Source organism: Homo sapiens, chromosome 3, assembly GCF_000001405.40.
Source record: "Homo sapiens chromosome 3, GRCh38.p14 Primary Assembly".
NCBI classification, from domain to species: Eukaryota; Metazoa; Chordata; class Mammalia; order Primates; family Hominidae; genus Homo; species Homo sapiens.
Window position 1 is genome coordinate 170,249,945 of NC_000003.12, and position 12,570 is coordinate 170,262,514.

General features: G+C 39.3%; 1 protein-coding gene across 3 annotated transcripts in view; it reads left to right on the forward strand.

Annotated features, from left to right (window-relative positions):
• The window catches only part of PRKCI (protein kinase C iota), an 83,554-nt gene that overhangs the window by 27,521 nt on the left and 43,463 nt on the right, over positions 1-12,570 (forward strand). For 2 of the 3 annotated variants that reach the window (NM_002740.6, XM_047448574.1), the window contains exon 3: positions 10,025-10,114. In NM_002740.6, the coding sequence (NP_002731.4) occupies positions 10,025-10,114 (90 nt within the window). Of the gene's footprint in view, positions 1-8,815; positions 8,983-10,024; positions 10,115-12,570 lie in introns of those variants that run through there. The other variant, XM_047448575.1, reaches the window with a different exon arrangement.

Genomic DNA, 12,570 nt, shown 5'->3' on the forward strand with positions numbered 1-12,570 from the left:
AGAATGCTACTTTGCAGGCAAACTTACTTTTGTAAAAATGCTAGACTCTGGCCAGACATGGTGGCTCACACCCATAATCCCAGCACTTTGGGAGGCCTAGGCCGGTGGATCACCTGAGGTCAGCAGTTTGAGACCAGCCTGGCCTCTGTCGCTATTAAAAAAATACAAAAACAAAAAAATTAGCTGGACGTGGTGGCACACACCTGTAATCCCAGCTACTAGGGAGGTTGAGGCAGGAGAATCACTTGAACCTGGGAGCTGGAGGTTGCAGTGAGCCGAGGTGTCACCACCACACTCCAGCCTGGGTGACAGAGTGAGACTTGGTCTGAAAAAAAAAAAAAGCTAGACTCCACATTCTTTAAAAAAAAAAAACAACTTTGCTAAGATATAATTCACCAATGTAAAGTGTACAATTCATTGGTTTTTAGTATAATCACAGAGTTGTGCAGCTGTTATCACCATCAATTATAGAACATTTTCATTACCAACCCCCCCCCCCCAAAAAAAAATCTCGTGTCTATTAGCAGTTGCTACTTGTTTCCCCCCTACCCCTTTCTCTGCAGGCCCCAGACCTAGACAACCACTAATCCACGATATGTTTCTACAGATAGACTGATTCTAGACATTTCCTATACAGTGTCATTACTAATTCCTTTTATGGGTGGATAATATTCCATTGTATGGATATACATATTTTATTTATCCATTTATCAATTGATGGACAATTGGCTATTGTGAGTAATGTTGCTACGAACATTTGGTTACAACTTTTTGTGTGAATATGTTTTCATTTCATATGGTAACTGTTTAACCTTGTGAGGAACTGCCAGTTTTCCAGAGTGGCTACACCATTTACCTTCCTACCAGCAGTGTATGAGAATTCCAATTTCTCTATATACACTTAGACTTGTTATTTATCAGTGTACTGAGTTTTGATCAAAAATAGTGTACCTGTGTAGTGTGGTTAAATCATGTTGACCTCACTCTCTTTCATCTAGCCTCTTAAAATATCAATACTAAGACTTATAAAATGAGCATATGAAAACCAGTAACTTTCCTTCCTACAGATTGAAAATACTCAATCAGAAAGTATATTCAAAGAAAATATTTAATCCACAGTAGCGACATAAAAATAGGTTTTAAAAAAAATCTAGTAATAAACCTTAGAGAAATTTGAAGAAACTATATAAAGAAACAAGAAACTCAATTGAGTGTCATAAAACGAAACTTGAATGAATGGTTTGGGAAAAAGCAACATTATACAAAGTGAATTCCCTGCATATCAATCTGTGAAGAAAACATTTCTCCCAAATTTCCAACAGGATTTTAAATCTGACAAAAATTTCATCAGGAAAAATAAATGCTCAACAATAAACAGGAAAATTTTGAAAAAGAAAGTTTGGAAAGAGAAGACTTTTCCTAATGTTGTATACAGGAATAGTAACAACTGAGAGAAAATATTTGCAACATTTACAACAAAGGATTACTATCTCTATTGTACAATAAATGCCAAGAAGAAATAGATGAAAAATCTACATAATGAGGTATAAATAGTCAATTCATAAATAACAGGCTCAAAAATCACTAATAATTAAAGAAGTTTTGAAATATTAAAGTGAGACATTACTTTTCACCTATTGGACTGGAAAATACAGAATTTAGTAATTATCTCTAAGAAATTAGGGCCAGGTGTGGTGGCTCACACCTGTAATCCCAGCACTTTGGGAGACCAAAACAGGTGGATCACTTGAGGTCAGGAGTTCAAGACCAGCCAGGCCAACATGGTGAAACCCTGTCTCTACTAAAAATACAAAAACTAGCTGGGCATGGTGGTGGGCGCCTGTAGTCCTAGCTACTCAGGAGGCTGAGGCAGAAGAATTGCTTGAACCCAGGAAGTGGAGGTTGCAGTGAGCCGAGATCACGCCACTGCACTCCAGCCTGGGCAACAACAAGACTGTCTCAAAAAAAAAAAAGAAATTAGGAAAGATTGGCCGGGTGCGGTGGCTCACGCCTGTAATCCCAGCACTTTGGGAGGCCGAGGTGGGTGGATCCTGAGGTCAGGAGATCGATACCATCCTGGCTAACACAGAGAAACCCTGTCTCTACTAAAAATACAAAAATTAGCCAGGCGTGGCGGCGTGTGCCTGTAGTCCCAGCTGCTGGGGAGGCTGAGGCAGGAAAATGGCATGAACTTGGGAGGCGGAGCTTGCAGTGAGCCGAGATTGCGCCACTGCCCTCCAGCCTGGGTGACAGAGCGAGACTCCGTCTCAAAAAAAAAAAAAAGAAATTAGGAAAGATACCCTGTTGGTTGAATGAATGTATGTGTCATAACTCTTTTGGAGGACAGTTGGAAATACTTGGCCAAATTTTAAATGGGCAGACTTTTTTTTGTTAATTTTTTACTTTAATTTTAATGGATACATAGTAGGTGTATGTGTTTATGGGGTACATGAGCTATTTTGATGCAGGCATACAGTGCATAATCATGTTGCGTAAATGGGATATTCATCACCTCAAGCATTTATCATTTATTTGTGTTACAAATATTCCAATTATACTCTTTTAGTTATTTTTAAATATACAATAAATTTTGTTGACTGTAATTACCCTGTTGTGCTATCAAGTACTAGATCTTTTTTTTCTTTTTTACTTTTTCTAACCTTTTTTTTTTTCTGAGACAGTGTCTCACTCTTGCTCAGGCTGGAGTATAGTAGCATGATCACAGCTCACTGCAGCCTTGACCTCCCATGCTCAAGCAGTCCTCCTGCCTCAGCCTACTGAGACTACAGGCTTGAGCCACCATTCCTGGCTGTTTTTTAAAATTTTTTGTAGAGATGGAGGTCTCACTGTGTTGCCCGGGGTGGTCTTGAACCAAATACTAGATCTTACTCATTCTGTGTGAGTATAGTTTTGTACCCACTCTCCACCACTATCGTTCCCAGCTTCTGGTAGCTATCATTCTACTCTCTATCTCCATGAGTTCAACTGTTTTAATTTTTAGCTTCCACAAATGAGTGAGAACATAAGGTTTGTCTTTCTGTATCTGGCTTATTTCACTTGACACAATGTCTTCCAGTTTCATCCATGTTGTTGCAAGTGACAGGATCTCATTCTTTTTTGTGGCTGAATAGTACTCCCATTGTATTGCTAGACACTTAAGTTGCTTCCAAATCATGGCTATTGTGAATAGTGCTGCAATAAATATGGGAGTGTACATATCTCTTCAATATACTGATTTCCTTTCTTTTGGGTGTATATCTAGTGGTGGGATTTCTGGATCATATGGTAGGTGTGTGTTTAGTTTTCTGAGAAATCTCTATACTGTTCTCCATAGTGACTGTACTAAAGTACATTCCCACCAACAGCATGTGAGGGTTCCCTTTTCTGCATATCCTTTCCAGCATTTGTTATTGCCTCTCTTTTGGATAAAAACCATTTTAACTGGAATGAGATGATATCTTGATGTAGTTTTGATTTGCAGTTCCCTGATGATCAATGATGTTGAACACCCTTTCATATACCTGTTTGCCGTTTGTATGTCTCCTTTTAAAAATGTCTGTTCAGGAGCCGGGCACAGTGGCTCACGCCTGTAATCCCAGCACTTTGGGAGGTTGAGGTGGGCAGATCTTGAGGTCAGGAAATCGAGACCATCCTGGCTAACATGGTGAAACCCCGTCTCTACTAAAAATCCAAAAAATTAGCCGGGCGTGGTGGCAGGTGCCTATAGTCCCAGCTACTCAGGAGGCTGAGGCAAGAGAATGGCATGAACCTGGGAGGCAGAGCTTGCAGTGAGCCGAGATCGTGCCACTGCACTCCAGCCTGGGCGACAGAGCAAGACTCCATCTAAAATAAAAAAAAATGTCTATTCAGGGCTAGGGATGGTGTCTCACGCTTGTAATCCCACCACTTTGGGAGGCCGAGGCGGGCGGATCACTTGAGGTCAGGAGTTCCAGACCAGCCAGGCCAACATGGTGAAACCCTGTCTCTACTAAAACTACAAAAATTAGCTGGGCATGGTGGCACGTGCCTGCAATCCCAGCTACTTGGGAGGCCGAGGCAGTAGAACTACTTGAACCCAGGAGGCAGAGGTTGCAGTGAGCCAAGATTACGCCACTGCACTCCAGCCTGGGTGACAGAGCAAGATCCGTTTCCAAAAAAAAAAAAGGAAAAATGTCTATTCATATCTTTTGCCCATTATTTAATCAGATTATTAGGTTTTTTTTTTCCTATTGAGTTGTTTGAACTCCTTGTCTATTCTGGTTATTAATCCTTTGTCAGATGCATAGTGTGCAAATATTTTCTCCCATTCTGTGGGTTGTCTCTTCATTTTTTTGATTGCTTTGTTTTGCAGAAACCTAAGTTGATGTGATCCCACTTACCTATTTTTGCTTTGATTACCTGTGATTGCGGGGTGCTACTCAAGAATTACTTGCCTGGACCAGTGTCATGGAGAGTTTCCACAGTTTTTTCTTTTAGTAGTTGCATAGTTTGAGGTTTTGGATTTAAGTCTTTAATTCATTTTGATTTGATTTTTGTATATGGCGAGAAATAGGGGTCTAGTTTCATTCATTCTTCTGCATGTGGATATCTTGTTTTCCCAGCACTATTTATTGACAGTCTTATTTATTGAAGGCTGTCTTTTCCCCAGTGTTATGTTCTTGGCACCTTTGTAAAAAATGAGTTCACTCTAGATGTATGGATTTATTTCTGGGTTCTCTCTTCTGTTCCATCGGTTTATGTGTCTGTTTTTATGCCAGCACCATCCTGCTTTGGTTACTACAGTTTGTAGTATAATTTAAAGGCATAGAATGTGATCCCTCCAGTTTTGTTCTTTTTGTTCAGGCTAGCTTTGGCCATTCTGGGTCTTTTGTGGTTCCATATAAATTTACAATGATTTTTTTCTATTTCTGTGAAGAATGTTATTGGTATTTTGATAGGGATTACACTGAATCTGTAGATTGCTTTCAGTAGTATGGACATTTTAACAGTATTGATTCTTCCAATCCATGAACATGGAATATCTTTCCTTTTTTTTTTTTAATGTGTATGTCTTCTTCAGTTTCTTGTATCAGTATTTTATGATTTTCATTGTAAAGAAAGAGATCTTTCACTTTTTTTTTTTTTTTTTTTTTTGAGACAGAGTTTCACTTTTGTTGCCCAGGCTGGAGTGCAATGGCACGATCTCAGCTCACTGCAACCTCCACCTCCCGGGTTCAAGTGGTTCTCCTGCCTCAGTCTCCCGAGTAGCTGGGATTACAGGGATGCACCACCATGCCTGGCTAATTTTGTATTTTTAGTGGAGACGAGGTTTCTCCATGTTAGTCAGGCTGGTCTCGAACTCCTGACCTCAGGTGATCCTCCCACCTCGGCCTCCCAAAGTGCAGGGATTACAGGTGTGAGCCACCGCGCCTGGCTGAGATCTTTCACTTCTTTTGTGATACTTATTCATAGGTATTTTTTTATTTGCAGTTACTGTAAATGGAATTACTTTTTTGATTACTTTTTCAGATTATTTGCTGTGGCATATAGAAATGCTACTGATTTTTGTGTGGTGATTTCATATCCTTCGACTTTACTGAATTAGTTTATCTGTTCTAATAGTTTTTTTGTGGAGTCTTTAGGTTTTTCCAAATATATAAGATGATATCATCTGCAAACAAGGATAATTTGACTTCTTCTTTTCTAATTTGGATGCCCTTTATTTCTTTCTCTTGTCTCATTGCTCTAGCTTGGACTTCCATTACTATGTTGAATAATAGTGGTGAAAGTGGGCATCCTTGTCTTGTTCCAAATCTTAGAGAAAGACTTTCAATTTTCTCCCATTCAGTATGATACTAGGTGTGGGTCTGTCTTATATGGCTTTTATCGTGTTGAGGTATGTTCCTTCTATCCCCAGTTTTTTTTGGATTTTTGTCATGAAGGGATGTTGAATTTTACCAAATGCTTTTTTTAGCATCAATTGAAATGATAGTATGATTTTTGTCCTTTATTCTGTTGTATCATGTTTTATTCTGTTCTATCATGTGATATATCACGTTGATTGATTTGCATGTGTTGAACCATCCTTGCATCCCTGGAACAAATTCCAGTTGGTCATGATGAATGATCTTTTTAATGTGTTGTTGAATTCAGTTTGCTAGTGTTTTGTTGAGGATTTTTGCATCAATGTTCATCAGAGATATTGACCTGTAGTTTTCTCTCTTTTTGACATATTTGTCTGGTTTTAGTAATACTGATGAGTATTACTGGGTCTTAGAATGAGTTTGAAACTATTCCCTCCTCCTCCATATTTTGGAATATTTTGAGTAGGATTGGTATTAGTTTTTCTTTAAATGGCACTGAAGCCATTGGATCCTGGGCTTTTCTTTGCTGAGAGACTTTTTATTATGGCTTCGATCTCATTACTTGTTAGTACTCTAGTCAGGCTTTGGATTTCTTCATGGTTCAATCTTGGTAGGTTGTATGTGTCTAGGAATTTATCCATTTCTTCTAGGCTTTCTGATTTGTTGGCATATAGTTGCTCATCGTAGCCTCTAATGATCCTTTGAGTTTCTGCAGTATTAGTTGTATTGTCTCCTTTTTCATCTGTGATTTGATTTCTTTGGGTCTTGTATCTTTTATTTTTAGTCCGGTTAAAGGTTTGTTGATACTATTTGTCTTTTCAAAAAAATCAAGTTTACATTTTGTTGATCTTTTGTGTGTTTTGTTTCAATTTCATTCATTTCTGCCCCGATCTTTATTACTTCTTTTCTTCTACTAATTTTGTGTTTGGTTTGCTCTCGCTTTTCTTGTTCTTTAAGATGCATCATTAGTTTGTTCATTTAGCGCCTTTCTCCTTTTTTTGATGTGGGCACTTATTGCTTGCTATAAACTCACCTCTTAGTACTGCTTTCACTGTATCCCATTGGTTTTGGTAGTAGTTGTGTTTCTATTTTCATTTTTTTCAAGAAATTTTTCAATTTTTTTCTTAATTTTGTATTGACCCCCTGCTTAATAAGGGGCATATTGTTAACTTTCATGTGTTTTTGTAGTTCCCAAAGTCCATCTTGTTACTGATTTCTAGTTTTGTTCCATTGTGGTCAGAGAAGATACTTGTTAGTTTTTGTAGGTTAGTAACAATATTTGGATTATACTAAGGAGTTTTTATCTAGAGTTATAGAGATTTTCTTAGAATGCTGCCATGGTAGAGAATAAGTGGGTGGGTATATAGGGGAAAACAACATTTTGAAATATGTTTCAAATTTTCCAGATTAAACAGTTAAAAAGAACAGGTGGTGAACCTAGAGAATAGTGTTTTAGAAACCGAGACACAGGATTTCTTAATAGTGGGCAACTTTGTCAGGGACTGCAAGAGAGATCACCTAGAATAAGGACTGAAAAGATGTCATAGGTTTCAGCAGCTGGTTTCATGACCTTTGCAACCGCAGTTTTGGTGGAGTGTTTGGGCTAAAACCTGGCAGCAGCATTTTGAGAAATGTGTGGAAGGTAAGAACATGGAGAAAGGATATGATCACTATGTGAAAAAAAGTTGTTTCATTATAAAAGATTACAAACTTATGATTTTTAAAATATTAAAGAGAAGTATGAAGTGAAAAAAAACCCTGCCCCTTTTCCTTTCTCATCTTCTCACCTGTTTCCTCCAGTTTTAGTCTCTAGTTTTACTCTTGAGATTTGTGGCTACTGAATGAATGGAGTGTCAATCTGAATGGGAAAGAGAATTTTTTTTTTTTTTTTTTTGAGACAAAGTCTCGCTCTTGTTGCCCAGGCTGGAGTGCAATGGTGTGATCTCGGTTCGCTGCAACCTCCGCCTCCCAGGTTCAAGCGATTCGCCTGCCTTAGCCTCCTGAGTAGCTGGGACAACAGGCACGTGCCACCACGCCCAGCTAATTTTTGTGTTTTCGTAGAGACGGGGTTTCACCATGTTGGCCAGGCTGGTCTCAAACTCCTGACCTCAGGCGATCCACCCACCTTGGCCTCCCAAAGTGCCGGGATTCCAGGTGTGAGCCACTGCACCTGGCCTGAAAGAGGTTTTTGAGAGGGAGACTCAGAAACGCCTTTGCCTGAGAAGAGCTAGGAAATAGAAGGAAAGAAAAAAATGGAACAGAGGAGCTCAGAGAAGATAAAAGGAAGTAGGGATGCAGTGGTCAAGTGGGAGAAAAAAAAGGAGAGGCACTCTTTTCTTTGAGTAGCCAGGAAAAAATGACTTTGTTTTTCTTTCTCAATTAGCAGACCAAGCTGTATGCTGGTGATTGAGGTTTGGATAGGGTTGGTGGCATCTAGTGTGTAGTAACTATGGGAATTAGCAAATCAATGGCAGAGTGAAGGACTCACTTTCACTCGCTCAGGTCCAAACTAGGCTTTAAATGACTTCTTTTTTTTTTGAGACAGTCTTGCTTTGTTGCCCAGGGTGGAGTTCAGTAGCACAATCTTGACTCACTACACCCTCTGCTTCCTAGGTTCAAGCGATTCTTCTGCCTTAGCCTCCCGAGTAGCTGGGACTGCAGGCACACACCACTGTGCCTGGCTAATTTTTGTATTTTTAGTGGAGATGGGCTTTCATCATGTTGGCCAGGCTGGTCTCGAACTCCTGACCTCAACCCGCCTGCCTCGGCCTCGCAAACTGTTGGGATTACAGGCCACCACACCTGGCCTGAATGACTTTTTCACTGAGGAATGCCATAGTCCAGGCAGATGTGCCACCTCATTGATCGCCAGGGATGACTCAGTTGTCTGGCTAGTTGGGTAAGGGAGGTGTTTTTTCCATCACTTCTGTGTGTCTGTTACTAAAACTGTTCATTTATATTTCACAGCAGCTCAAGTGCAACTGTTCTTCAGTACTTTTGTAGCTTTTCATTTCTGTGACTCCTTTGAGGAGGCTCTGTCATGTGAAAGGAAAAATTTGATAAAATGATTACATGGAGACTTCTAACTAATCGTATTGTGGCAATGGAACTACTTTCACTTCCTCTTTTAAAGAAACAGGTAACAGAAAGCCTCCTCTTTAGACTTTCCCATTAGACACATAGCAGTGACAATTTAAACTGTGGTCAGTAGCCAGGCATGGTGGTGCACTTCTGTAGTCCCAGCTATTTGGAAGGCTGAGGCAGGAGAATCGCTTGAACCCAGGAGGCGGAGGTTGCAGTGGGCCAAGATAACACCATTGCACTCCAGCCTGGGCAACAAGAGCCAAACTCCATCTCAAAAAAAAAGAAAAAAAATGTGGTCAGGAATAGATTCTGTTTGCTGTATTTGGGATATATACAATGTTAAGAACAAAATGGCCAGGTGTGGTGGCTCATGCCCATAATTCCAGCACTTTGGGAGGCCCAGGCGGGAGGATTGCTTGAGCCCAGGAGGTCGAGGCTGTAGTGAGCCGTGATCATGTCACTGCATTCAGCCTTGAGTGACAGAGTGAGACCCTGTCTCACCAAAAAAGAAAACCAAAGAACAAAATTTTATATCTATATACATTGGTGTCTGTGAACCTCATGTGGTATTTTTATGCAAATAGAAATGGAAGTTATATGTTACCTACTTCAGAAAATTGAATTGTCTAAATAAATATCTAAATATTTGTCCTTAGGCCAGGCACGGTGCTTCACGCCTATAATCCCAGCACTTTGGGAGGCCGAGGCAGGCGGATCACCTGAGGTCAGGAGTTCAAGACCAGCCTGGACAACATGGTGAAACCCTGTCTCTACTAATACAAAAATTAGCTGGGTGTGGTGGCACACACCTGTAATCCCAGCTACTCGGGAAGCTGAGGCAGGAGAATCGCTTGAACCTGGGAGGCAGAGGTTGCAGTGAGCCAGGATCATGCCACTGCACTCCAGCCTGGGTGGCAAGAGCAAAACTCTGTCTCCAAATAATAATAATAATAAGTAAATAAATATTTGTCCTTGTCATATATTTGTTTATAAATATGAGATTATTTTTTCTAAAAATTTACATTATGAAATTTGTTTAGTAATCATCACATTTAGGGGTTTTAAAGTGACCTTTACTTTACTTTTGTGTTTTTTAGGAGACCCGTGTACAGTATCATCTCAGTTGGAGTTAGAAGAAGCCTTTAGACTTTATGAGCTAAACAAGGATTCTGAACTCTTGATTCATGGTAAGAGAGTAGTCATTTCATACTCGTCCAGACTGATAATTTCTTTGAAATCACTCTTTATTCTTCACCATTTTGAAACATAATCTTAATGTCATTTTCTCAATCTCTGTGACTCATGCCTAAGTAATTGTCGTTATTTAGTAGTTTCTCACGTGCTACAGAAGGTAAAATTAATCTGCTGCTTATAGTCTGGGGAATTTTGTGGTCTCTGTATGTCTTGTTGGATATTAAAATGTGATATCTCAGTGTATCACAGCAAATTTATGATAGAACTTAAAAATTGAGAGCCTGGGGAATCTAAGTCATCTACTTGAAATTTTGTTATGTATACAAATAATGACCTCCAAAGGTAAGGTATCTTAAATATCCTTTCTTTTGCTTAAAGGTTAATAGTGAAACTATTTACATGATTCCTTTATTTTTGAGACAGTCTCACTCTGTCACCCAGGTTGGAGTACAGTGGTATGATCTCGGCCCACTGCAACCTCTGCCTCCTGGGTTCAAGCATCTCAGCCTCCCAAGTAGCTGGGATTACAGGTGTGCACCACCATGGCTGGCTAATTTTTATATTTGTAGTAGAGACAGGGTTTCACCATGTTGGCCAGGCTGGTCTCGAACTCCTGGCCTCAAGAGATCCGCCTGCCTTGGTCTCCCAAAGCACTGAGATTACAGGCATGAGCCACTGCACCAGGCCCATTTACATGATGCTTTAGAGACATTAATATGTTTATACCTCAGCAACCTTGAGATGTAGGAAGTGGCATAGAAGAAGTAACCTAAACTCAGTTATCATTGTAACTGGCACGTTGTAGACCTGGATTGTGAATCTAGGAATTCTGATTCCAAATTTGTGTTTCATTCAACTATGCTAACCATCAAAAGTCATGTAAAACTTTTTTTTTGTTTGTTTTTTTGAGGCAGTTTCTCTCGCTCTGTTGCCCAGGCTGGAGTGCATTGGTGCAGTCATAGCTCACTGCAGCCTTGACTTCCCAGGTTCAAGCGATCCTCCCACCTCAGCCTCCTGAGTAACTGAGACCACAGGCACTGCCGCACCACTATGACTGGCTAATTTTTTTTTTTTTTTTTTGTATAGATCGGATATCACTATGATGCCCAGGCTGGTCTCAAACTCCTGTGCTCAAAGAGTCCTACCACCTGGGCCTCCCAAAGTGCTGGGATTAGAGGTGTGAACCACCATGCCCAGCCAAGAACCTCTTAATATACTGCATTTAATTGCAATATATTGACAGTATTTCGTTGAACATTTTTGAGAGCTATGAGACCAGACTTAGGAATCTTCTAAAAAAGTGAAACGAATGTAAATCTTTCCTTAAGTATAATGAATCATTTCAGTGCCTTATTATTATTTCTTTGTATTTTCCTTTACAGTGTTTTTTTTTTAAAAAAAAAAAAAAAACAGTGGTTTGATTTTATATTTTATTTGAGACACAGTTTCACTCTGTTGCCCAGGCTAGAGGGCAGTGGCACAGTCTCAACTCACTGCAACCTTGGCCTCCTGTGTTCAAGTGATTCTCATGCCTCAGCCTCCAAAGTACTTGGGATTACAGGCGCCTACCACCATGCCCAGCTAATTTTTGTATTTTTAGTAGAGATGGGGTTTCACCATGTTGGCCAGGCTGGTCTCGAACTCCTGACCTCAGGTGATCTGCCTGCCTTGGCCTCCCAAAGTTCTGGGATTACAGGCGTCAGCCACTACGCCTGACCTGATTTTTTTCTACCTCCAGAATTTGACATAGTGACTCACAAGGGATCCATAATGTACTTTGTTGAGATTCTAAAAGAGCTTTAAGAGTCTATTTTTTTTGTCATCTCTTTCCAGAATAAAATTACAATGAATGCATAAAGAAGTGATTGATGAATGGTATTAAACAGTCAGTTTTAAGTCTTATTGCCTTTTAATACTACATCACAGATGTTTTCAGAAGCTAGCTTACGTTTCAGCTTTTAAAAATATGCATTAGGAACTGTGCTTCCTATAGTCTGTGCTCTTTATTAAACTGTGTCCTTTAGTACATCACAGACTAAGAATAGCTGACTAGATATTCATAAATACATTGTTGCTTTATATTCTACCTTGTTATAAAAATGGTTTTAATTAGTATATACATTTAAAGTTTCTAATGTAAATTTACATTTTTGATTTTGGTACTGTTTCTGGTGTTAATTTATTCCTAAGTTTAGTATACATCTTTTAAAAACCAATATTTTATGTTCCATATTTGTATACATTTTTGTAATTTAATTTTCATCCTTCATTGTGACAAACTTGTCCTACTATACCAAGGATTTAAGGCGATATTAGTTAATGATTTCTTTAAGGATAAGAAAATAATTCATGATGTAACAGGGACTGGAATTAGTCATTTGAGCTTCTGATGCATTGGTTTTTTTGTTTTGTTTTGTTTTTGTTTTTGTTTCTGAGATGGTGTCTCATT